The sequence below is a fragment of the Homo sapiens genome, chromosome 2, assembly GCF_000001405.40.
Source record: "Homo sapiens chromosome 2, GRCh38.p14 Primary Assembly".
NCBI lineage: Eukaryota > Metazoa > Chordata > Mammalia > Primates > Hominidae > Homo > Homo sapiens.
The window spans coordinates 109,706,010-109,728,310 of record NC_000002.12 but is presented as its reverse complement, the minus strand read 5'-3'; the positions used below and the strand labels follow the sequence as shown (position 1 = coordinate 109,728,310).

At 47.4% G+C, this 22,301-nt stretch overlaps 1 protein-coding gene and 1 long non-coding RNA gene across 2 annotated transcripts in view; both read right to left on the bottom strand.

The window, feature by feature from the left end:
• The window catches only part of RANBP2 (RAN binding protein 2), a 1,122,820-nt gene that overhangs the window by 113,991 nt on the left and 986,528 nt on the right, over positions 1 to 22,301 (bottom strand). The window lies entirely within an intron of this gene.
• Positions 8,195 to 8,800, bottom strand: LOC107985774 (uncharacterized). Its single transcript, XR_001739114.1, has 2 exons — positions 8,762 to 8,800; positions 8,195 to 8,386 (listed from the first exon to the last, which is right to left on the bottom strand). It is a non-coding gene; the product is annotated as an uncharacterized LOC107985774 (long non-coding RNA).

The window sequence follows — 22,301 nt, the reverse complement described above, 5'->3', positions numbered from 1 at the left end:
GGCAAGGCTTAGTGAGGACAGCTCATCTCTGCCACTTGCTGTGTCATCTGGGGGAACTTGACTGGGCCTGAAGAAGCCACTTTAGAGATGGCTTACATACATAGCTAACAAGTTGCTGCTGGCTTCTGAGGCAAGGCAGAGGTTGTGTGACAAGGGCCTTATTTTTTCTCCATGCGAGCCTCTCTACAGGCTATTGGGCTTCCTCACAGCATGGTGGCTGGGTTCCAAGAGCAAGCATCACTAAAGAGTAAGACATACTCGCATGGTAGGTTCATGGCTTGGCCTTGGAAGTCAGTGTCAATTCCTCAGTAACCTCTTGGTCTACAGAGCACAAAGTTTTGCCCTCTTTCAAGGGGAAGGAGCATAGACTTTGCCTCTTGATAAGGAAGTGGCAAGGTTCTAGGGAGCATGTGGGCTGGGACATACTGTTGTAGACATTGTAGACATCTTTAGAAGTTAATATTTCTCATAAAAACATACTGTAGGTATTTTTAAGAGGTCATTCTTAGTGCCATGGCCAAAGGGAAGCCCTGGGTAAGCAGGCATCTGGATTAATTATTCTGCCTCGAAGAGTCCAGAGATGTTAAAAACTAAGCCTTCAGTTAGCATGAGGCCACTCTGAGCACTGGATGCCCTCTGTGCCCCAGGGCATCATCAGATGTGCTCTCTGTAGAGGGGTGGCCATCACTGACTCGCTGGACCTGAGCCTCCGGTTGTGTTGGGAGTTTGTGAGAGGGCAAATCAGTCATCTCACCCCATGTGCAGGTGTGCTATGTAAAATAGGTTTTCAGGAATAAAGGATCCATTGAGCAGGTACATGTAGTGAAAAGGACACAGACTTCCAGGATACGGACTCGGCTTGGAGTCCCAGCTCCACCCACTACTAGCTAGGTGACCTTAAGTAAGACTTCAAATCTTGACCTTCATTTTCCCATCTGAAAAATAGGAAAGATAAAACCTATCTCATGGAACTGTGGTGAGCATCCCTTCAAAAAGTTCATCGTTTCCCACAGGTTATTTGTATCTCTGGTGTTTATCAAGTAAGATATGGGGTAGACTACCCCATAGGTAAACAGTTCGTTGTTGTTTTAATATTTAAGTGTTTTCTTAACGTATTAGAACATTGCTTGTTTTCTTGTCATAGTGAAAGATGTGAGTTGATTTCGAGGGAGGTATTAGAAACTACCAGTTTAGGTATCAGAGCAGAAACCGTGAAGGTGATGCACAGTGCTTGTGGTTTAGGAAGCACCAGGGCAGTACATGGTGCCTGACCCCCACGCGCCTCCAACTGTAGCCCCCTGAAGTTAGGGCTTCCATCTAGCCAGTTCTCATTCAGTCTCAGCATGCAGCTCTGAGGTTGGCAGGAGCCAAGCACCATCTCCTGAGGTAATTGATTAACAGGGCATGTCATGTAGTGGCATGCAGCCAGTGTGAGGGCACCTCCCTGCCTCTGTCCACTGGGATCTCCTGGGAGGCCCCAAAGGTTCTCCAAGCCTATCCCCGACCACATTCCCTCTCAGTGGGTGGATTTCCTGCGGTGGGCCGGAGGGTGTGGCTCCCCACTCTCCAGAGCACTTGCACATTTAGCCCTGTTTCAGCCCCTCCTAGCCACAGGACTTTGGGAAAATGTAAAACGCAAAAACTAAAAAAACTCGAAGACTCCTTGGTTAGCAGGATTGGTGAGGTTAGGAAGCTGACCAGGATCATGCAGCTTGTTAGTAGCCTAGTAACGAAAGTGGTTAATGATCACACAGCCTCCTTGGAAACGGTCTCCTCTGCGACACGGACCCTGCCTGTATAATCTTCACCCTTCACAAAGGGATCCTGGAGGGGGCATCATCACCTCCAGTTTTGTTTTGTTTGTTTGTTCGTTTGTTTTTTGTTTTTTGGGGGGTTTTTATTGAGATAGGATCTGGCTCTGTCACCAGGCTGGAGTGCAGTGGTGCGATCCTGGCTCACTGCAACCTCCGCCTCCAGAGTTCAAGCGATTCTCTTGCCTCAGCTTCCCAAGTAGCTGGGACTACCGGCGTGCAAGCCACCACACCCCGCTACTCTTGTATTTTTAGTAGAGACAGGGTTTTGCTATGTTGGCCGGGCTGGTCTCGAATTTCTGACCTCAAGTGATCCGCCTGCGTCAGCCTCCCAAAGTGCTGGGATTACAGGCATGAGCCACTGCACCCGGCCACCTCCGTTCTGCAGGTGGAAAACACAAACACACACACACACACACACACACACACACACACACACACCAAAAGCAAAAACAAAAACCAGCCTCAGCTGGGAGCAGTGGCTCACACATGTAATCCCAGCACTTTGGGAGGCCAAGGCGGGTGGATCACCTGCGGTCAGGAGTTTGAGACCAGCCTGACCAATGTGGTGAAACTCTCTCTCTACTAAAAATACAAAAATTAGCCAGGTGTGGTGGCACATGCCTGGCATCCTAGCTACTCAGGAGGCTGAGACAAGAGAGTCACTTGAACCCGGGAGGCAGAGGTTGCAGTGAGCCAAGATCACACCACTGCACTCCAGCCTGGGTGACAGAGCAAGACTCCGTCTCAAAAAAGAAAAAAAAGAAAAAAGATACAACCTCAGTTTTGTAACTTGCAGTATAAAAATATGAAACTCAAAGCAGCATTCAGAAAAAGTACCATTTCTGGCACCGTAACAGTGACTTTTCTCCCGAGAGTCCTCAGCAAGAAGACTGACAAAATGAGGTGATAGAGGTCCTGAACATGGTCCCAGTTAAAAATACCACTACTTCCCACAGAGCCCCAGGATGGCATGAGAGCAGCAAGAAATGCCAGCCTACAGGGAGGGAGTTCATCTCCCCACTAATGAAAGTCCATGGCACCATGGTGAAGTGCAATTTGGATAAGGTGGTTATTGATACCCAAGCACCATGGGTTTCTCCCCTGTCCAGGCCATCGTGACCAGGCACTAGCTCCTTCTCTTCCACCCCCTCCACTTTCTGGCATCAAGACCCTCACCCTGTGGAGTGGATGTGGAGCTCTCAGGCATCCAGGAGTACACTTGGGCCCCAAGAGGTATCTGGGCTCAGGTGGGAGGACCTCCTCCTGCAAGTGAGGAACAACCAAGAGGGAGGGGAGGGCGAAGTCACCCCTGTGTTCACTGTCATCCTCCCACCTGGGATGTGTTCTGAGGGGAGCAGGGGCTTTGGTCTGTTCTGTCACTGCAGAATCCCCAGTATCTAGAGCAGCCTGGCACACGGTGGCCACTCAGCAAGTAGTTACAGAGGGAGCCCATGAGTGAGTAAGCACTGCCACCAAGGTGCCAGCAGCCTCTGATCACCCTGTTCTCCCACCTTGTTTGACTCAGGTTTGCCTCACCTCCCCCAAGGGGAGGCCTAACACTGCTTTCGCTTACCCTAGTCCAAGAACCCCTTTGGGGGTAGGGTGCCCAGACCCGACTGCCCCTGGCCTGGCATACCTCCGTGCCCTCCCTACTTTTGGAGTCTCAGAAGTAAAGACCATACATTCCCTCTTCTGTTATCTTTGTAGTCCTGCCACAAAGTCCTGACTTCCCTGGAGGCAGGCTGGCTTCCTGAAGCTTCTGGGAGGAGGGGTGCAAAAGCTGGCGAGAAAACCGGCAATTTGAGTTTCAAGGTTTTATCTCACTGCAGGTGCCTTGCCAGCTCACTGCAGGACCCAGGGTAAGCTCAGTGGTGGGGTACAAGGCGCACCCTTGGGGTTTGGCTTTTAAAACTCACCTAAGACCCAGCCAACTCCAACAGTGTTCTGAGGAGTGTGCCCACCACCTACCTGTCCCCCTTCCATGTTGAAATAACTGTGTCCAATAAGAGAAGGATTGATGGAGGTGAAGGACCTCTTCAAGAACCACTGCTCAAGGAAATCAGAGAGAACACAAACAAATGGAAAAACATTCCATGCTCATAGGTAGGAAAAATCAATATCGTGAAAATGGCCATGCTGCCCAAAGTAATTTATAGATGCAATGCTATTCCCATTAAACTACCATTGACATTCTTCACAGAATTAGAAAAATATATTTTAAGATTCATATGGAACCAAAAAGGAGCCTGAGAAGCCAAGACAATCCTAAGCAAAAAGAACAAAGCTGGAGGCATCATGCTACCTGACTTCGAACTATACTACAAGGCTATAGTAACCAAAACAGCATGGTGCTGGTACAAAAACAGACACATAGACCAATGGAACAAAATAGAGAACTCAGAAATAAGACTGCACACCTACAACCATCTGATCTTTGACAAACCTGACAAAAACAAGCAATGGGGGAAGGATTCCCTAGTTAATAAATGGTGCTGGGAAAACCAGCTAGCCATAAGCAGAAAATTGAAACTGGGCCCCTTTGTTACACCTTACACAAAAATTAACACAAGATGGATTAAAGACTTAAATGTAAAACCCAAAACTATAAAAATGCTAGAAGAAAATCTAGGCAATACCATTCAGGGCATAGGCATGGGCAAAGATTTCATAATGAAAACGCCAAAAGCAATTGCAACAAAAGCAAAAATTGACAAATGGGATCTAATTAAACTAAAGAGCTTCTACACAGTAAAAGAAACTATTAGCAGAGTGAACAGACAACCTATACAGAATGGGAGAAAAGTTTTGCAGTCTATCCATCTGACAAAGGTCTAATGTCCAGAGTCTACAGGGAACTTAAACAAATTTACAGGAAAAAAAACCCCATTAAAAAGTAGGCAAAGGATATAAACAGATACTTCTCAAAAGAAGACATTCATGCAGCCAACAAATATATGAAAAAAAGCTCAACATCACTGATCATTATAGAAATGTAAATTGAAACCACAATGAGATACCATCTTATTCCAGTCAGAATGGCAATTATTGGCCAGGTGTGGTAGCTCATACCTGTAATCCCAGCACTTTGGGGGGCCAAAGCTGGTGGATCACTTGAGGTCAGGAGTTTGAGACCAGCCTGGCCAACATAGGGTGAAACGTCTCTACTAAAAACACAAAAATTAGCCGGGCGTGTGGCACACACCTGTAGTCCCAGCCACTCAGGAGGCTGAGGCAGTAGAACAGCTTGAACCCAGGAGGCAGAGATTGCAGTGAGCCAAGATCATACCACTGCACTCCAGCCTGGGTGACAGAGTGAGATTCTGTCTCAAAAAAGTAGAAAAAGAAAAAAAAGAATGCCAATAATAACAACAGATGCTGGTGAGGTTGTGGAGAAAGAACACTTTTAAACTGTTAGTGGGAGTGTAAATTAATTCAAACATTGGAGAAGACAGTGTGATGATTCCTCAAAGATCTAGAAGCAGAAATACCGTATGAACCAGCAATCCCATTACTGGGTATAGACGCAATGGAATATAAATCATTCCATTATAAAGATACATGACTGTATGTTCACTACAGCACTATTCACAATAGCAAAGACATGGAATCAACCCAAATACCCATCAATGATAGAAAATGTGGTACATATACACCATGGAGTACTATGCAGCCATAAAAAGGAACAAGATCATGTCCTTTGCAGGGACATAGATGGATTTGGAAGCCATTATCTTCAGCAAACTAATGCAGGAACAGAAAACAAAACACATGTTCTCACTTATAAGTGGGAGCTGAACAATGAAAACAGAAGGACACATGGTGGGGAACAACACACATTGAGGCCTGTCGTGGGGAGGGTGAGGGAAGGGAGAGCATCAGAAGAATGGCTAATGGATGCTGGGCTTAACACCTAGGTGATGGGTTGATCTCTGCAGCAAACCACCATGGCACACGTTTATCTATGTAACAAACCTGCACATCCTGCACATGTAACTTGGATCTTGAAATAAAAATTGAAACAAAAGAGAAGGACCAATGGGGAATGTGCTATCCTTGGGAACAGTACAGAGATGGGAGAGGGTTTGACAAACACTAGAGAGCTGTGGGCTATGAACCCTCCCTTCCAGCTATGAGCATGTTCACACTGAGCCGGAGCAGTGCCAGGCTCTGCCTCTTTCCGTGTCTGGCCTGTGGCCAGCAGGTCTTAGTGTAGATTAACTCCTCTATGAAAGGGGAGGTGTCCTGCAAGCAGCATCAAGATGCTCTTCAACAAGTTCTCTGGGCTATGCTCCAGGATGCCGACAAACAAGTCCGCAGGGCCCCAGGACCTGGTGCTGACAGGATGGTTGCAACCTTCTCAGCTCAGCCAACTCTAAAATCGATTTTAACCTGGATGGCCTCTTAGCCTGCCATCCTCCTCTCCACCCCACTCCACATACACACACACATGCCTCACTAAAGCTCTGTAGGCTATTTGACTTTGAAAATAGGACTTCCTTGTGTTCCCACTGAAGCAAATGTGTTGCCTAAATCCCTAAATGAGCCAGCTGGCTGCACAGGATTCTTGAGGACAAGTGGGCTCCGTGGAGACCACCCAGAGCCCACCTAGAGAGGCGTGGCCCACGGGCAGGCTGGTGGGAATTGGGGCAAGGTGGCTGCTCGCTCAGGAGACCCCTCGTTGTAGGGCCACCTTGCCAGCTGCACCCATGGGGCTATGGTGTTCCCTCTGACTGGCAGACACTAGCGGGCCTCCAGCACCTAGGGCTGAGGGTAACATATTCATATATAAAATAAAATACTGAAAGAAATGGGAAAGTTAAAAAGCGGTGGATTGATATTTGTGAGGAAAACACTGAATTGGAAGACCGAAACAGCCACCACCCTTTCTGATGGCCTCATCCTGCTTCTGCCTCTAGCTGTGCGGCCTTGGAGATCAATGCTGTTTTTTTTATCTTTGGGCCTTAAATGGACTAGTAAAAGGCACCTTCTGAGCGAATTCCAGCACAGCAATTCTGATTCTGTCTCTGCTCTGATACCTGCCTGCGGAGGCATCCCTGATCTCATTATTTTTTATGCATGCCCAGCGTGTTTCTGCACAGGCTTAGCTTTTATGAGTCTGCCACTTTGGAAACAAATCACACGTCCTGTGTTCCATCAGCCTGTGGCGCAGTGTGGAATTTCTGGTATAACAGCATTTAGCTGCTGAGGAAACATGTCTGGCTTTGCTTCCTTGGGAGAGGGTGCAAAGGAAGAAAGCCGCAGCGTGTACACAAAAGAAAGTTCGTGTTCCGAGGGAGGTTTTTAATGTCCTTGTAAATACTAACCAGTGTCTACTCAGAAGTCTTCAAGAAGGAACTTGTAGTAATGATATGAATTAATATTTCTGGCAGTTCCAGAAATGCAGTTGCCCCATCTTGTTTTGGGGCAGCTCACATCCTGATCACAGCGGCACATTCTGTGTGATCTTAGTGATGCTGCACCAGCCCTCTTGGTGGCATCTGTGACTTGATAGGCATTCATCTCAGGTGAGCAAGGCTGCTGAGCTGGGTGAGGAGAGGCCTAGCTAGAAAGGTGCCCACATCTGGCATTGTGCTAGAAGGGCCGCCTTCCCCTGAAGCTGGGCCAGTGACAATCAGGAGAGGGAGGGCTTTTGCCAGAAAGCAGTGCCCTGCTGTGAGGTCCCAGCCTGAAGGGGCTCTCAGATCTTCTGGGGAGAAGAGCAAATCAGGTAACCTTGGCAACTCACATCTTTGGAGTTATTTACACATGTGAAAACTAAGGAGATTGGATGAAATGATGGATTAGGTCCCATCAGAACTGTAAACAATGATGGCATTATTTAGTGCCTGGATCCCTGCCTTGAGAATTTACATTTGGCACACCAAGTTCTTACAGACCTGCACTTCAGTAGGGGAACTGCATTACCTCACTGCCTGCCTGGTAACAGTGATTCTCAGCCCCACATGGTGCATAAGAATCACCTCTAGGGCTTTTAAAAGGCTCTGATACTCAGGTCTTACCTGTGAAAGAGATTTGGTTTCAATTTGTCTGGGATGGAGCCCACACGTTGCCATTTTTTTTAAAGCTCCTTAGGTGATTCTAAGATGTAGCCAGAATTAAGAACCACTGATAGGTTGCAAGTGCTGCTATAGTGGCTGTCACGGTGATGCTGTGTCACTGAAGGGACTGTATATATATATATGTGTGTGTGTGTGTGAGTGTATGTGTGTGTGTATAAAGATTGATATATATGTGTGTGTATATATATATAATGATCAGAAGGTTACACAAGGGCGTGGAGGCGTGCAGGAGGAGGTTCAGTATTTCATACTGGTCTCCCCATCACATGTTCTATTGGCAAAAGTTTCTGAAGTCAGTAGAAATGTCAAATGAAATTTATGTCAACCACAAAGAGCAGCTGACTTTAGCTGGCCGAAGCTGGCTGGTAAGGGCAGTGATAGTCCAGAATCTAGCCAGGTGCAGCCGATCACGAGTCCTCGGTAGAACAGCAGTTTCCAGAGGCTCACTTCCTCCTGTTACTCCCAGCTTGAGGCTTGACATCAAATTTCAATCTACATAAATGTTGGTCAAGGAAGAGAAATAAATGAATTTTTGCTTAAAGAATAATCATCACTGTGGCCAAGCCTGGAAATTCATGATGCCCAGAGGAATCATCTTGGTCGATGCTTATGAAAAGGCCTTCTAAGCAGACCCCTTGTTGATCTAAGGTATCTATGGACTCTCCCCAGTCCTTCCAATTTTTTTAACGGCTTTATTAAGATATAATTCATGGGCCAGGCGTGGTGGCTAGCACCTGTCATCCCAGTACTTTGGGAGGCCGAGGCTAGCGGATCACGAGATCAAGAGATCGAGACCATCCTGGCCAACACGGTGAAACCCCATCTCTACTAAAAATACAAAAATAAGCTGGGTGTAGTGGCGCACACCTGTAGTCCCAGTTGCTCAGGAGGCTGAGGCAGGAGAATTGCTTGAACCGGGGAGCCAGAGGTTGCAGTGAGCGGGGATCCCACCATTGCACTCCAGCCTGGCGACAGAGCAAGATTCCACCTCAAAAAAAAAAAAAAAAGATATATCACAGCCAGGTGCGGTGGCTCACACCTGTAATCCCAGCACTTTGGGAGGCCAAGGTGGGAGGATCATCTGAGGCTGGGAGTTTGAGACCAGCCTGATCAACATGAAGAAACCCCATCTCTACTAAAAATACAAAAAAAATTAGCCGGGTGTGGTGGTGCATGCCTGTAATCCCAGCTACTCAGGAGGCTGAGGCAGGAGAATCACTTGAACCTGGGAGGCGGAGGTTGCGGTGAGCCCAGATCATGCCATTGCACTCCAGCCTGGGCAACAACAGGAAAACTCCATCTCAAAAAAAAAAAAAAAAGATATAATTCACATACAACACAATTTACCCACTCAGGCATGTAATTAAATTGCTTTTTGTTTTTGTTTCTTTTTTTTTTTTTTTTTTTTTAGATGGAGTCTCACTCTGTTGCCAGGCTGGAATGCAGTGGCACAATCTCAGCTCACTGCAACCTCTGACTCCCTGGTTCAAGCAATTCTCCTGCCTCAGCCTCACGAGTAGCTGGGATTACAGGCATGTGCCACCATGCCAAGCTAATTTTTGTACTTTTAGTAGAGACGGGGTTTCACCATGTTGGCCAGGATGGTCTCAATCTCCTCACCATGTTGGCCAGGATGGTCTTGATCTCCTGACCTCATGATCTGCCTGCCTCGACCTCCCAAAGTGCTGAGATTACAGGCGTGAGCCACTGCGCCTGGCCGTAATTAAATTGTTTTTAAGTCACAGGGTTGATGTGGCAACAGTCACCATAGTCAATGTTGGAATGGTTTCACCACTTCAAAAAGAAACCTGGTACTTGTTAGCTGTCATCCTCCTGTACCTTGATCCATCTCTCTACCTCCCATTCCCAACCCTGAGCAACTACAAATCTACTCTACAGATTTGCCTATTCTGGACTTTTGTATAAATGTAATCCTATAATATATGGTCTTTTGTGACTGGCTTCTTTCACTTCACATAATGTTTCTAAGTTCATCCATGTTGTAGCATGTATTAGTACTTCATTCCTTTTTATGGCTGAGTAATACGCCATTGTATGGATATACCACATTTTCTTTATCCATTCATCAGTTGATGGACAGGTTATTTCCACTTGTTGGTTATTATGGAAAATGCTACTATAAACATTTGTGTACAAATTTTTAGGTGGTCATATGCTTTTATGTCTCTTGGGTTCATACCTTCAGAGAAGTGCTGGGCCAGATTGTAACTCTGTTTAATTATTTGAGGAACCACCAGACTCTCTTCCAAAGTGGCCGCATCATTTTACATTTCCACCAGCAATATGTGAGGGTTCCAGTTTCTCTGCATTCCTGCCAATGCCTATTATTTTCCACTTTTTTTGATCTTTTTAAATTTCTGTCAGTTTTGCAGTTCTCAAAGTATAAGTTTTGCTCATTTTGTTAAATTTATGTTTAGGTAATTTATTCCTTTTAATGTTATCACAAATGGAAATGGTTTTGTGTTTTTGTTTTTGTTTTCTTGAGACAGACTTTTACTCTGTTGCCCAGGCTGGAGTGCAATGGTGTGATCTCGGCTCACTGCAACCTCTGCCTCCCGGGTTCAAGCGATTCTCCTGCCTCAGCCTCCTGAGAAGCTGGGACTACAGGCACCTGCTACCACACCCAGCTAATTTTTGTATTTTAAGTAGAGATGGGGTTTCACCATGTTGGCCAAGCTGGTCTTGAACTCCTGGCCTCAATTGATCTACCCGCCTTGGACTCCCAAAATGCTGAGATTACAGGTGTGAGCCACTGTGCCTGGCCTAGGAACTGTTTTGTTGTTGTTGTTGTTGTTTTGTTGTTTTTGTTTTTTGAGATGGAGTTTTGCTCTTGTTGCCCAGGCTGGAATGCAATGGTAAGATCTCAGCTCACTGCCACCTCTGCCTCCCGGGTTCAAGCGATTCTCCTGCCTCAGCCTCCTGAGTAGCTGGGATTACAGGCGTCCACCGCCATGCCCAGCAAATTTTTGTATTTTTAGTTGAGACGGGATTTCACAATGTTGGCCAGGCTGGTCTCAAACTCCTGACCTCAAGTGATCCACCCGCCTCGGCCTCCCAAAGTGCTGGGATTACAGGCGTGAGCCACCGCACCCCGTGGAACTGGGTTTTTTTTTTTTTTTTTTTGGTTTGTTTTTAATTTTCATTTTTGGATTGTTGTTTGCAAGCATATTGAAATACATTTGATTTTTATATATTGATCTTCTATCCTGCAGCCTTGCTGAACTCATTTATTGGTCCAAATAATTTTTTAGTGAATTTCTTAGGATTTTCTGTATATAAGATCATGTCATCTGTGAATACAGACAAATTTTATCTCTTACTTTTTCACTGGGATGCCTTTTACTTCTTTTTCTTGTCTAGTGTGAAAGGAAAATAAAATTTGGGACCTCAAGTCACTCTGCCAAAAGAAAAAAATTAAGCTGAAAGCTGAGTCCTGCGAGAAGTTGCCTTTCCTTTTGCTCCTAAGCAGATAGCTGCAGATAAAAGGTTAAATATCTCTACAAGTAGCTACTCTATGTTCACCTTATCTTATGTAAAGTGCTGATTAGGCTGGGCGCGGTGGCTCATGCCTGTAATTCCAACACTTTGGAAGGCAGAGGTGGGCAGATTGCTTGAGTCCAGGAGTTTGACATCAGCCTAGGCAACATAGCAAAACTCTTGTCTCTACTAAAAGTGCAAAACATTAGCCAGGCATGGTGGTGCGTGCCTGTAGTCCCAGCTACTCAGGAAGCTGAGGTAGGAGAATCACCTGAGCCTGGGAGGTGGAGGCTGCAGTAAGCAGAAATTGCACCACTGCACTTCAGCCTGGGCAACTAGAGTGAGACCCTGTCTCAAAAAATAAAATAAGGCTGGGTGCGGTGGCTCACGCCTGTAATCCCAGCACTTTGGGAGGCCGAGGCGGGTGGATCACGAGGTCAGGAGTTTGAGACCAGCCTGGCCAAGATGGTGAAACCCGGTCTCTACTAAATATACAAAAATTAGCCAGGTGCGATGGCAGGCACCTATAATCCCAGCTACTCAGGAGGCTAAGGCAGGAGAATTGCTTGAACCCGGGAGGCAGAGGTTGCAGTGAGCTCAGATTGCACCACTGCACTCTAGCCTGGGCAACAGAGCAAGATCCATCTCAAAAAATAAATAAATTTTTTTTAAAAAAAATAAAATAATAAGTAAATAAAATTAAAAAAAATAAAGTGCTAATTTACTGAGTGCCAGACAAATACATAATTGACTATTCCCCTACCTACTCCCTTTCTCTTGTAACATGTGGATTCAGTCATGCGACCCTCTCCTTTCTCCAGCCCACTTTTCCCCTTTAAATATTGAAGACCTCAAAATCATCTTTGGGGAAAGGTGTACCTTTCTCCTGGGCGCGTCCTTAACTTTGGCAAAATGAACTTCTAAATTGAGACCTGTCTCAGACACATTTTGGTTTACACTACTTGCCCTAGTTAGAAACTCCAGGACAATGTTGAATAGAAGTGGCAAGAATGGACATATTTATCTTGTGATTATGATATTGTGATTCATAATAAATATATATATTTCATCTTCCTCCCTGTTTCCTGGCACATAGCTCAAATGGCTGGGGCCCCTGGGTAGCCTCAGGATGGGGGCTGGCTGCCAGGTGAACCAGATGATTAGAGGGTTGGAACTTTCATTTCTGAAACTGATCCTCCAGGGAAGGAGGAAGAGCTGAAGGTTGAGCTGACCCCCAATGGCCAGTGATCTAATCAATCATGCCTGGGTAATGAAGCCTACATAAAAACCCAAAGGAACAGAATTCAGAGAGCTTCTGAGTTGCTGAACATGTGGAGGTGCTGGGAGAGTGGCTTCCAGGAGAGGGCAGGGAAGCTCCATGCCCTTTCCTCACACCTTGCCTGGTGCACCTCTTCATCTGGCTGTTCTTGTATCCTTTGTAACGTCCTTTACAATAGCCTAAGTGAGCCTAAGTGTCTCCCTGAGTTCTGTGAGCCACTCTAGCAAATTAATCAAACCTGAAAAGGAGGCCAGGCATGGTGAGAGCACTTTGGGAGCTTGAGGCAGGCAGATTGCTTGAGTCCAGGAGTTTGAGACCAGCCTGGGCAACATGATGAAATCCAGTCTCTACAAAAAATACAAAAAGTACTATAGGCTGGGCATTGTGGCTCATGCCTGTTATCCCAGCACTTTGGGAGGCCGAGGTGGGTGGATCACCTCAGGTCAGGAGTTCGAGACCAGCTTGACAAACATGGTGAAACCCCGTCTCTACTAAAAATACAAAATTAGCTGGGTGTGGTAGCATATGCCTGTAATCCCAGCTACCTGGGAGGCTGAAGAAGGAGAATCACTTGAACCCAGAAGGCAGAGATTGCAATGAGCCGATCACACTATTGCACTCCAGCCTGGGCAACAAGAGCGAAACTCCACGCCCCGCCCCCACCCCCACCCCCCCAAAAAAAACCTACTATGGGATTTATCATAAAATTAAATGTTTAAAAATAGCACAAGCCCGGGCGTGGTGGCTCACACCTGTAATCCCAGCACTTTGGGAGGCCAAGGCAGGTGGATCACCTGAGGTCAGGAGTTTGAGACCAGTCTGGTCAACATGGTGAAAACCTGTCTCTGCTAAAACTACAATAATTAGCCTGGTGGTGGTGGCACACACCTGTAACTCCAACTACTCAAAGGATGAGGCAGGAGACTCACTTGAACCTGGGAGGTAGAGGTTGCAGTGAGCCAATGGCACCACTGCACTCCAGCCTGGGCAATACAGAGAGACCTTGTCTCAAAAAAAATAAAAAATAAAAATAAAATAAAGCTCGGGCACAGTGGCTCACGTCTGTAATTCCAGCACTTTAGGCGGCCAAGGTAGGCAGATTACGAGGTCAAGAGAACAAGACCATCCTGGCCAATATGGTGAAACCCCATCTCTACTAAAAATACAAAAATTAGCCAGGCGTGGTGGTGCATGCCTGTAGTCCCAGCTACTCAGGAGGCTAAGGCAGGAGAATCACTAGAACCTGGGAGGAAGAGGTTGCAGTGAGCCAATATCACACCACTGCACTCCAGCCTGGCGACAGAGCGAGACTCCGTCTCAAAAAAATAAAATAAAATAAAAACTTTTAAAAAAGAGAAAAACACACACACACACACACACACACAAATTAGCCAGGTGTAATGCAACGTGCCTATTGGTCCAGCTGTTCAAGAGGCTGAGGTAAGGTAGGAGGATCACTTGAGCCCCAGAGGTAGAGGTTGCAGTTAGCTGAGATCATGCCACTGTACTCTAACCTGGGTGACAGAGCAAGACCCTATCTCAAAAAGAAAAAATAAAAAAGAACCTCCATGTAGTTGTGGGTAATCTACTACTTATGATTGGCGTCTGAAGTGGGGGCAGTCCTACGGGCCTGAGCCCTTAACCTGTGGGATCTGACTCCAACTCCAGGTAGATAGTGTCAGAACTGAGTTAAATTATAGGATATCCAGCTGGTGTCCCCTGGAGAATTGCTGTATGGGGAAAACCCACACATGTGGTGTTGGAAGTATTGTGTTGAGTGTAAGAGTAGCAAAAACAGAGTGATCTTAGGAGGAAAGCTTTCGATCATTCGATCAATCATTCATTGAGAGCTTTCAATCATGATGTTAGCTGTGGGCTCTTTGCAGATGCCCTTTAATGGCCTGAGGAAGTTTTCTTTCATTCCTAGCTGTTGAGTGCTTTTATCCTGATCTCATGGACTCTCTGGGCACAAGGATCAGGGACCCCAGCAGGCCAAGAACCCCAAGACCACGACCACTTCTGCAGAGCTAGTACCTAACATTCTCACAGCTTACCAAACACAAATTCATGGTCCCAATTGATTTCCAACCCAGTGAAGTAGGTGCTGTTATTCCCAATTTCTAGCTGAAGAAGCTGGAGCGCTGAGAGGCTGTATGGGTTTCCTTGTCACTCAGCTCAGAGGCACGTTCTGGAGCTGACACTCAGCCCTTGCTGGCCCCTCTAGTCCATCTGCTCCTGCTTGGCTTCTACCTCCTAATCAAGGCTGTCCTTTGTGGGGGATGAAGTGATGTTTGTATTTAGACTTCAGGGAGCTTTTCTCAAACTTCAGTGGCCCTAAGCCTTACCAGGAGGGCTTATTAATGATGAAGAACCCTGAACCTGTCCTGGAGATTCGTAACTGGGTAGGACTCAGAATTTGCAGTTCACCATCTCTCCTCCACGAAGTGGGTCTGCACCATGCTTCCAGGAACCCTGCTCTGGAGGAAAAGCGGTCTGAATGTGAAATGTCAGGTGGCCAGTGCAAGAGGAGGGAGGGTTTCAAGAGACCCAGGTGGAGGAAGGCTGCTGAAGTTTAAAGCAGGGCTGGGCTGGCCCTCCCCTCAGTGTACCCTCAAGTTGGATTTTTTTCATATTCCGTCAAACAGAAGTTTTCTCCTTGTCTCAGGTACCATCCCCCCAATACAGGGCCATGCAGGGGAGCGAAGCAGAGCCCACTCTCACTCACTCTCGCTCTGGCGCACAGCACAGGACCCATGAGACTTGCTTTAGGGGCCTGTGAATATGACTTTCATTTTCATTTCTTTTAAAATCAGAAGAAAAATGAGTAGATATAATGAGTATGTAATCATGAATCGGCCTAGATTATATTTGCCTTTATGCCAATATCATTGTAAAATATAATTTTTAAAGCCAGACTTGGTGGCTCACACCTGTAATCCCAGCACTTTGAGAGGCCGAGGTGGGCAGATCACGAGGTCAGGAGTTCAAGACCATCCTGGCCAACATGGTGAAACCCCTGTCTCTACTAAAAATACAAAAAATTAGCAGGGCCTTGTGGCACACGCCTGTAATCCCAGCTACTTGGGAGGCGGAGGCAGGAGAATCGCTTGAACCCAGGAGGCAGAGGTTGCTGTGAGCAGAGATCGTGCTATTGTACTCCAGCCTGGGTGACAGAGCAAGACTCAATCTCAAAAAAATAAAATAAAATAAATAATTTTTTATAGTGGAAAAGGCCCAGGAAGGCAAAAATGCCCAGGACCCATGAAAGTTCTACATAGCCCTGAGAGTGAGGGTGCAGGACACACAGGGCCTGGAGAGGGCAAGGCTCTGGTGTCAGCCTGAGAATGAGTGACCAGAGTCAGGCAGGGCCGGCAGGATCCATCTGACCACTGACCCTGGTTCTCTCCATTCCAGGCCTGTCACTTGACACAGCCGGCCAGGGCAGCCCTGAGCTCACTGGGGAAGGGATTTATAGGAGGCCTGTTTTAACAGCCTACCTGGACATGAAATCTTTCATTTGAAGAGGAAAGAAAAATCCAGCAGTCAATAGCAATTTGTTCAAAACCAAAATGGAGCGTGGTGTTGCAAAACATCCTCTTCCCGAGCTCTGGACCAGCTGGCTGCATCAGCCCCGATGACAGGGAAGGAGCCAGGCAGGATGCACTGCATTGTAAACTCTTGCCCTGAGGAACATGGCCTAGTGGTGAGTGGGAGGGCAGGGAGAAGCGAGCAGCAGCCAAGACTGCAGGCAGCCATTAAGAGCTTGCACTGAAGTGGGCTCAACAGATGATAAACACACAACGGACACTTTCAGGTGCTAAGTGCCATGCAGAAGAGAAAATAGACCGAGACAAAGGGGGCTGCTTCACTCTGAGTGTGGAAAGGCCCCTCATAATTGTGTGATTTGAGCAAGGAGGAGGCAGGCTGAGGGGTCTCCAGGACAGCATTTCAGGCAGAGGCCAGGACAGGCTGGTGCACAGCTTGTTGGAGGGCAGGCCAGGCCAGCGAGGCTTCCTCAGGCTTCTGCATAGCCAGTGGGCATCAAAGCGTAGAAGGAGGGGGCACAGAGATGATGGTAAGCTGGTCCTGCAAGCCTCAGAACCGTGTAGGCAAGGATTTGGGGGTTTATCAAGAGTGAAAGCCACTGGAGGCTTGTGAAACAAGAGAGTGGCTTATTTGACTTTGTAAGACTCTTCTGGCTGCTGTGCAGAGAAGCTATGGGGGCAAGGGCAGGTGTGGGAGGCTAGTGAGGAGCCACTGCAGGGTCCCAGGGGAGGGGCAGGGTGGTCTGCTGCATCCCACCCCTGGCAATGGTAGGAATGGCTGGGCGTGAGGGGTTTGGAAATGGTGACGTTTATAGGGTGTGAGGAGAAGTGGGCTCAAGAAGGGCAGAGAATGCTGGCCTAAGTTACTGGGCATAGGGACGGAGCTGCTGAAGACAGTTGCAGGGGACTTGCCGGGGCGGCTGAAGTTCTCACTTGGCCATGTCAAGGTTGCGCTGCCTTTCAGATGTCCCTGAGGAGATATCAGGTCCCCAGGGGCAGATAGGAAGCTGGAACTCAGCAGACCTACGCAAATGTGTCACCAGCTTACAGACAGCATTTGAAGCCCTGGGACTGGATGTGGGCAAGCAGAGAGAGGGCATAGGGAGGAGGCCTCAGTGCAGGGTACAGGCATCTCCACCTGAGAGAATGTCCCATAAACTGCCTACCTTGCCACCTTAGCAGAGCTGAATCCCCTTCCTATTATGAACACATCTTGCTGTCTCAGGAATCATCAACCATCCCATTTTCTATGCCAAAGCTGCTGACTTGACACAGCTAAAGTGCCCGGGGGGTTCAGCCCATCCTTCCCCAGGTCTCCTCTCACCCCTCCCTCACTCCCTGCTTCCCATGCTCTGCTCACTTCTCCCTGACTCTGTGCTTTCTGCTGATGGTAGTTGAAGGTAGAACTCACCAGATGCACCTGGAAGGCTCTCCAAAGCCATGGCTGCCCCCTAGGACCTTGTGGGCCAGGGCCTTGGTGGTGGGGTCTGGACACATGGCCACTGCTTCTGGTGTCCTTGAGGCTTTGGCACCTCGCAGAGGTGAGCCTTCAGCCCCACCTTGTGCCAACACTAGGCTTGGCCCAGGTATACTTTTGAGTGTCTCCAAATTTCATTTTAAAGCCACAATTTCACACAAATTCATGTTAGAAATAGGCAATGGGGGCCGGAATCCACATATAACTGATAGAGTAAATCACTTTTTTTTTTTTTTGAGATAGAATCTCGCTCTGTTGCCTAGGCTGGAGTGCAATGGCGTTATCTCGGCTCACTGCAACCTCCGCCTCCTGGGTTGAAGCAATTCTCCCACCTCAGCCTCCCGAGTAGCTGGGACTACAGGTGTGTGCCACCACCCCTGGCTAATTTTTGAATTTTTAGTAGAGATGGGTTTTCACCGCGTTGGCCAGACTGCTCTCGAACTCCTGACCTCAAGTGATCCACCCGTCTCGGCCTCCCAAAGTGCTGGGATTACATGCATGAGCGACCACACCTGGCTTTTTTTTTTTTTTGAGACGGAGTCTTGCTCTGTCACCCAGGCAGGAGTGCAGTGGCACGATCTCAGCTTACTGCAACCTCCATCTCCCAGGTTCAAGCAATTCTCCTGTCTCAGCCTCCTAAGTAGTTGGGATTACAGGCATGCACCACCACCCCTGGCTAATTTTGTATTTTTAATAGAGATGGGGTTTCACCATGTAGGTCAGGCTGGACTCAAACTCTGGACCTCAGGTGATCTGCCCTCCTCAGCCTCCCAAAGTGCTGGGATTACAAGCGTGAGCCACCGTGCCCAGCGAGTAAATCACTTTTAAAATCATTTTGTTTCTCTAATTTGCCCACTCTTATTATACAAGTACTTGTTTTAAATATGATCAAAGACCTTCCCTCCATATGTAAATGATAATGTGCTAGAGCTGAGGGCTTTTATGAGCCCTTCCCTTGTGCCAGGCACAGTGCCAAGGGCATCGCATGCATTACCTTGTTTCATCTTTACAACCCTACAAGGTAGGTGCTGTGATGATTTCCACCTCTAGATAAGGAATTGCAGTGCAGCCAGGCTCAGTGGTCTGTCTAGGGTGACAGAGTGAGGGGCAGCAGGATTGCAAAGCCCTGGCACTGGCTCTCAGAGTGGGGCATCAGACTCCAAACCCCACACTGCATGGTGGCAGCAGCTGCTTGCTTCCCAGGAGCAGGCAGCAAAGCTAAAGTTTTGTTTTGTTTTGTTATTTTTATTATTTTATTTTATTTTATTTTATTTTATTTTATTTTATTTTATTTTATTTTATTTTATTTTTGAGACACAGTTTCGCTCTTGTTGCCCAGGCTGGAGCGCAATGGTGCGATCTCAGCCCACTGCAACCTCTGCCTTCCGGGTTCAAGCAATTCTCCTGCCTCAGCCTCCCGAGTAGCTGGAATTACAGGCATGCACCCCCATGCCTGGCTAATTTTTTTTATATTTTTAGTAGAGACAGGGTTTCTCCATGTTGGTCAGGCTGGTCTTGAACTCCTGACCTCAGGTGATCCACCCACCTTGGCCTCCCAAAATGTTGGGATTATAGGCGTGACCCACTGCACCTGGCCCCATTTTTATTTTTTATTATTTATTTACTTATTTATTTATTTTTGAGAGGGAGCCTTGCTCTGTTGCCCAGGCTGGAGTGCAACTGCACAATCTCAGCTCACTGCAACCCCTGCCTCCCGGGTTCAAGCGATTCTCCCTGCCTCAGCCTCCCAAGTAGCTGGGATTACAGGTGCCCACCACCATATCCAGCTTATTTTTGTATTTTTAGTAGAGACAGGGTTTCATCATGTTGGCCAGGCTGGTCTCGAACCCCTGACCTCAGGTGATCACCTGCCTCAGCCTCCCAAGGTGCTGGGATCACAGCAGTGAACCACCATGCCCAGTCTTGTTTTGTTATTTTTAAACTTAATTAATTAATTTATTTATTTTGAGACAGGGTCTCACTCTGTTGCTCAGGATGGAGTACAGTGGCACAATCTTGGCTCACTACAACCTTTGCCTCCCAGGCTCACTGCAACCTTCAGCCTCCCAAGTAGCTGGAACTACAGGCATGCACCACCACGCCAGCTAATTTTTTTACTTTTTGTAGAGATGGGGTTTCGCCATGTTGCCCGGGCTGCTCTTGAACTCCTGGACTCAAGAGATTCGCCCACCTCTGCCTTCTAAAGTGCTGGGATTACATGTGTGAGCCACCACACTCGGCCTTATTTTGTTTTTTTAGAGACAGGATCTTGCTCTGTTGCCCAGGTTGGAGTGCAGTGGTGTGATCATAGCTCACTGCAGCCTCAACCTCCCAGGCTCAAGTAGCTGGGACTACAGGCGTGTGCCACCATGCCCAGCTAAAATGTTCTAATTTTCTTCATCTAAAAAAATTTTTGATTTTTTGTAGAGATGGGGTTTTGCCATGTTGCCCAGGTTGGTCTCGAACTCCTAGGCTCAAGTGATGCTCCCGTCTCAGCCTCCGACTGTTTTTGGATTACAGGTGTGAGCTACTGTGCCTGACCTGGGGTCTTGCTTTAGAGGTACAAAGGAAAACTGATGCCAAGTAGGTTTCTCTAAGCCCAGACCAATGTTCCCTCAGTACAGGATGGCACTTGCACTGCTGAGGTGCTGGCACCTGTGGTCCAGGCCACACCCTCTATGCCACTTTCCACAGGGCAGGCTTTGGGCCTTGCAATACAGCCAAGGAGAGCTTATCTGAGAGGTTCAAACAAGAAGTTCTGCATTTTTTTATTTACATCTAAACATTTAGGTATTTATTCAACACTTTGAAGTGGTGTGGTTGAAAGAGAGAAAAGGTATGAGACTAAAGAGCTCTGAACATTAGAAGAAAAGGGAGGTTAAATGGGCAGAGGGCTATTCAAACTATCGAACAACCAGCCCGGCATGGGCGCTGACCCGTCAGAACAGGCGGATGCTGTCCTAAAAGCCATCCCTGCTGGGCCCTGTTCTCCCTTCAGTGGCTGGGTCATGGGAGGATAGGGAGGGCAGGGCGGGTGGTGGAGGAATCTGGAGGGCTTAGAAGCTGCAGCAAGGTACCTATGAATACAGAATTGTAGTGGTGTTTTATAATCCATTTGGCAACGTGGGTATTTATAGCTGAATGTCAGCCTGGCTAAGGGTATAATCAGGGTAGATTGCTTTCCAATAAGCCCATAATCTTAGCACTGCTTCCCCTGGGTTTCTTGAGGATGAGTTGGGGAAGCAATGGTGCTATGTCAAATCTAAGTGGAAGCAGATGCCAGTCACAGAGGATAGAAGGCAAGAAAAGAGCCAGTTGGGTTCTTTTTGTCAGCAGTTGTGCTACAGGCTCTAAAGGGTTTGAAATGTGAATTTCACCTTAAGAAAGCACTGCAAAACATGTCACTGGTTAGAGTAAACATCAATTTCCTGCAAGGGGGTTACTAGGCAGTAGATCTGAAGTTAAAATTGTTTATATAAATAAATTGTGAATTATTTTATCAAAAAAGTAATATTTGTTAAATGCTAAAATCCCAGCAATTCAAAATAAAATAGAGTAAGATGTAATATCTCCTTTCGTCCCTCCAGCCCTCTCTCTCCTGGCAGTTGTACTGTGAGCAGCTGGTGGGTCTTCCCTCTCCAACTCAATGTCTGTGATGGCATTACTTGGCCCTGGTGGCACACCTCCCTCGGTGGAACTGAAACTGGGCACCTCTAGGGGACTCGCATCAATGCAGGGCCAGGCTTCCTGCTGTGGAAAGTGAGGGGCAACCCGCTGGGCACCCCATCTTTGTGAAGAACCCCTGGGTGCTCCATCCTTGTATCTGAAGTAACCTGATAGCCACTGCTCATTCACTCATTCATTCATTCATTCGCTTATCAGACAAATACTTATTGAGTGCCTACTGTGCACCAAGCATCATTTCTAGTGCTCAGAACCCCTCAGTGGACAAAAGAATGACCTTTGTCTTCATAAGTCAAAGAAGTGGGGGACAGACAATGCCCATAATAAATAACAGAATTATATGGGCTATCAGAGGGAATTGGTGCCATGGGAGAGGGCAGAGCAGGTTTCAGGGGACTGGAGGCCTTGGGGAGGGCAGTGGTCAGGGCAGGCATCAGTAGGAAGACTTGAACAAAGCCTTAAAGGAGGTAAGGACGTAGCCACATAGACTTCTGAGCAAAGGGCATCTTGGGCAGAGGGAAAGACCAGTGCAGAGGCCCTAGGGCAGGGCTGAGCCTGGCCTCTCCAAGGACTGGCAGGGCCAGTGGGCTGAAGTGGAAGTGACACTGGAGAAGTCACGTGGCCTTTCTTTACTTCTTTCCCGATAAGACTTTGGCTCCGCATCTGCGTGAAATGGGCAGCAATGCCGGTGTGAGCAGGGGGTGGCACAGCATAATTTACATCACACAAGGAGCTCCTGGTCTGCTGCTCTGAGAATAGACTGGGGACAGGGGCAGAAGAACAGACAGGAAGCCCCAGCCTAGCCCAGGTGAGAGGTGGTAGCAGCTCCCACCAGGTGTCGGTCATGAGAAGAGGCTGGATTTTGAATGCATTTGGAAGAATATTCTAATAGGTGGGGCATGAATCTAAGAAAGAGGAACCCAG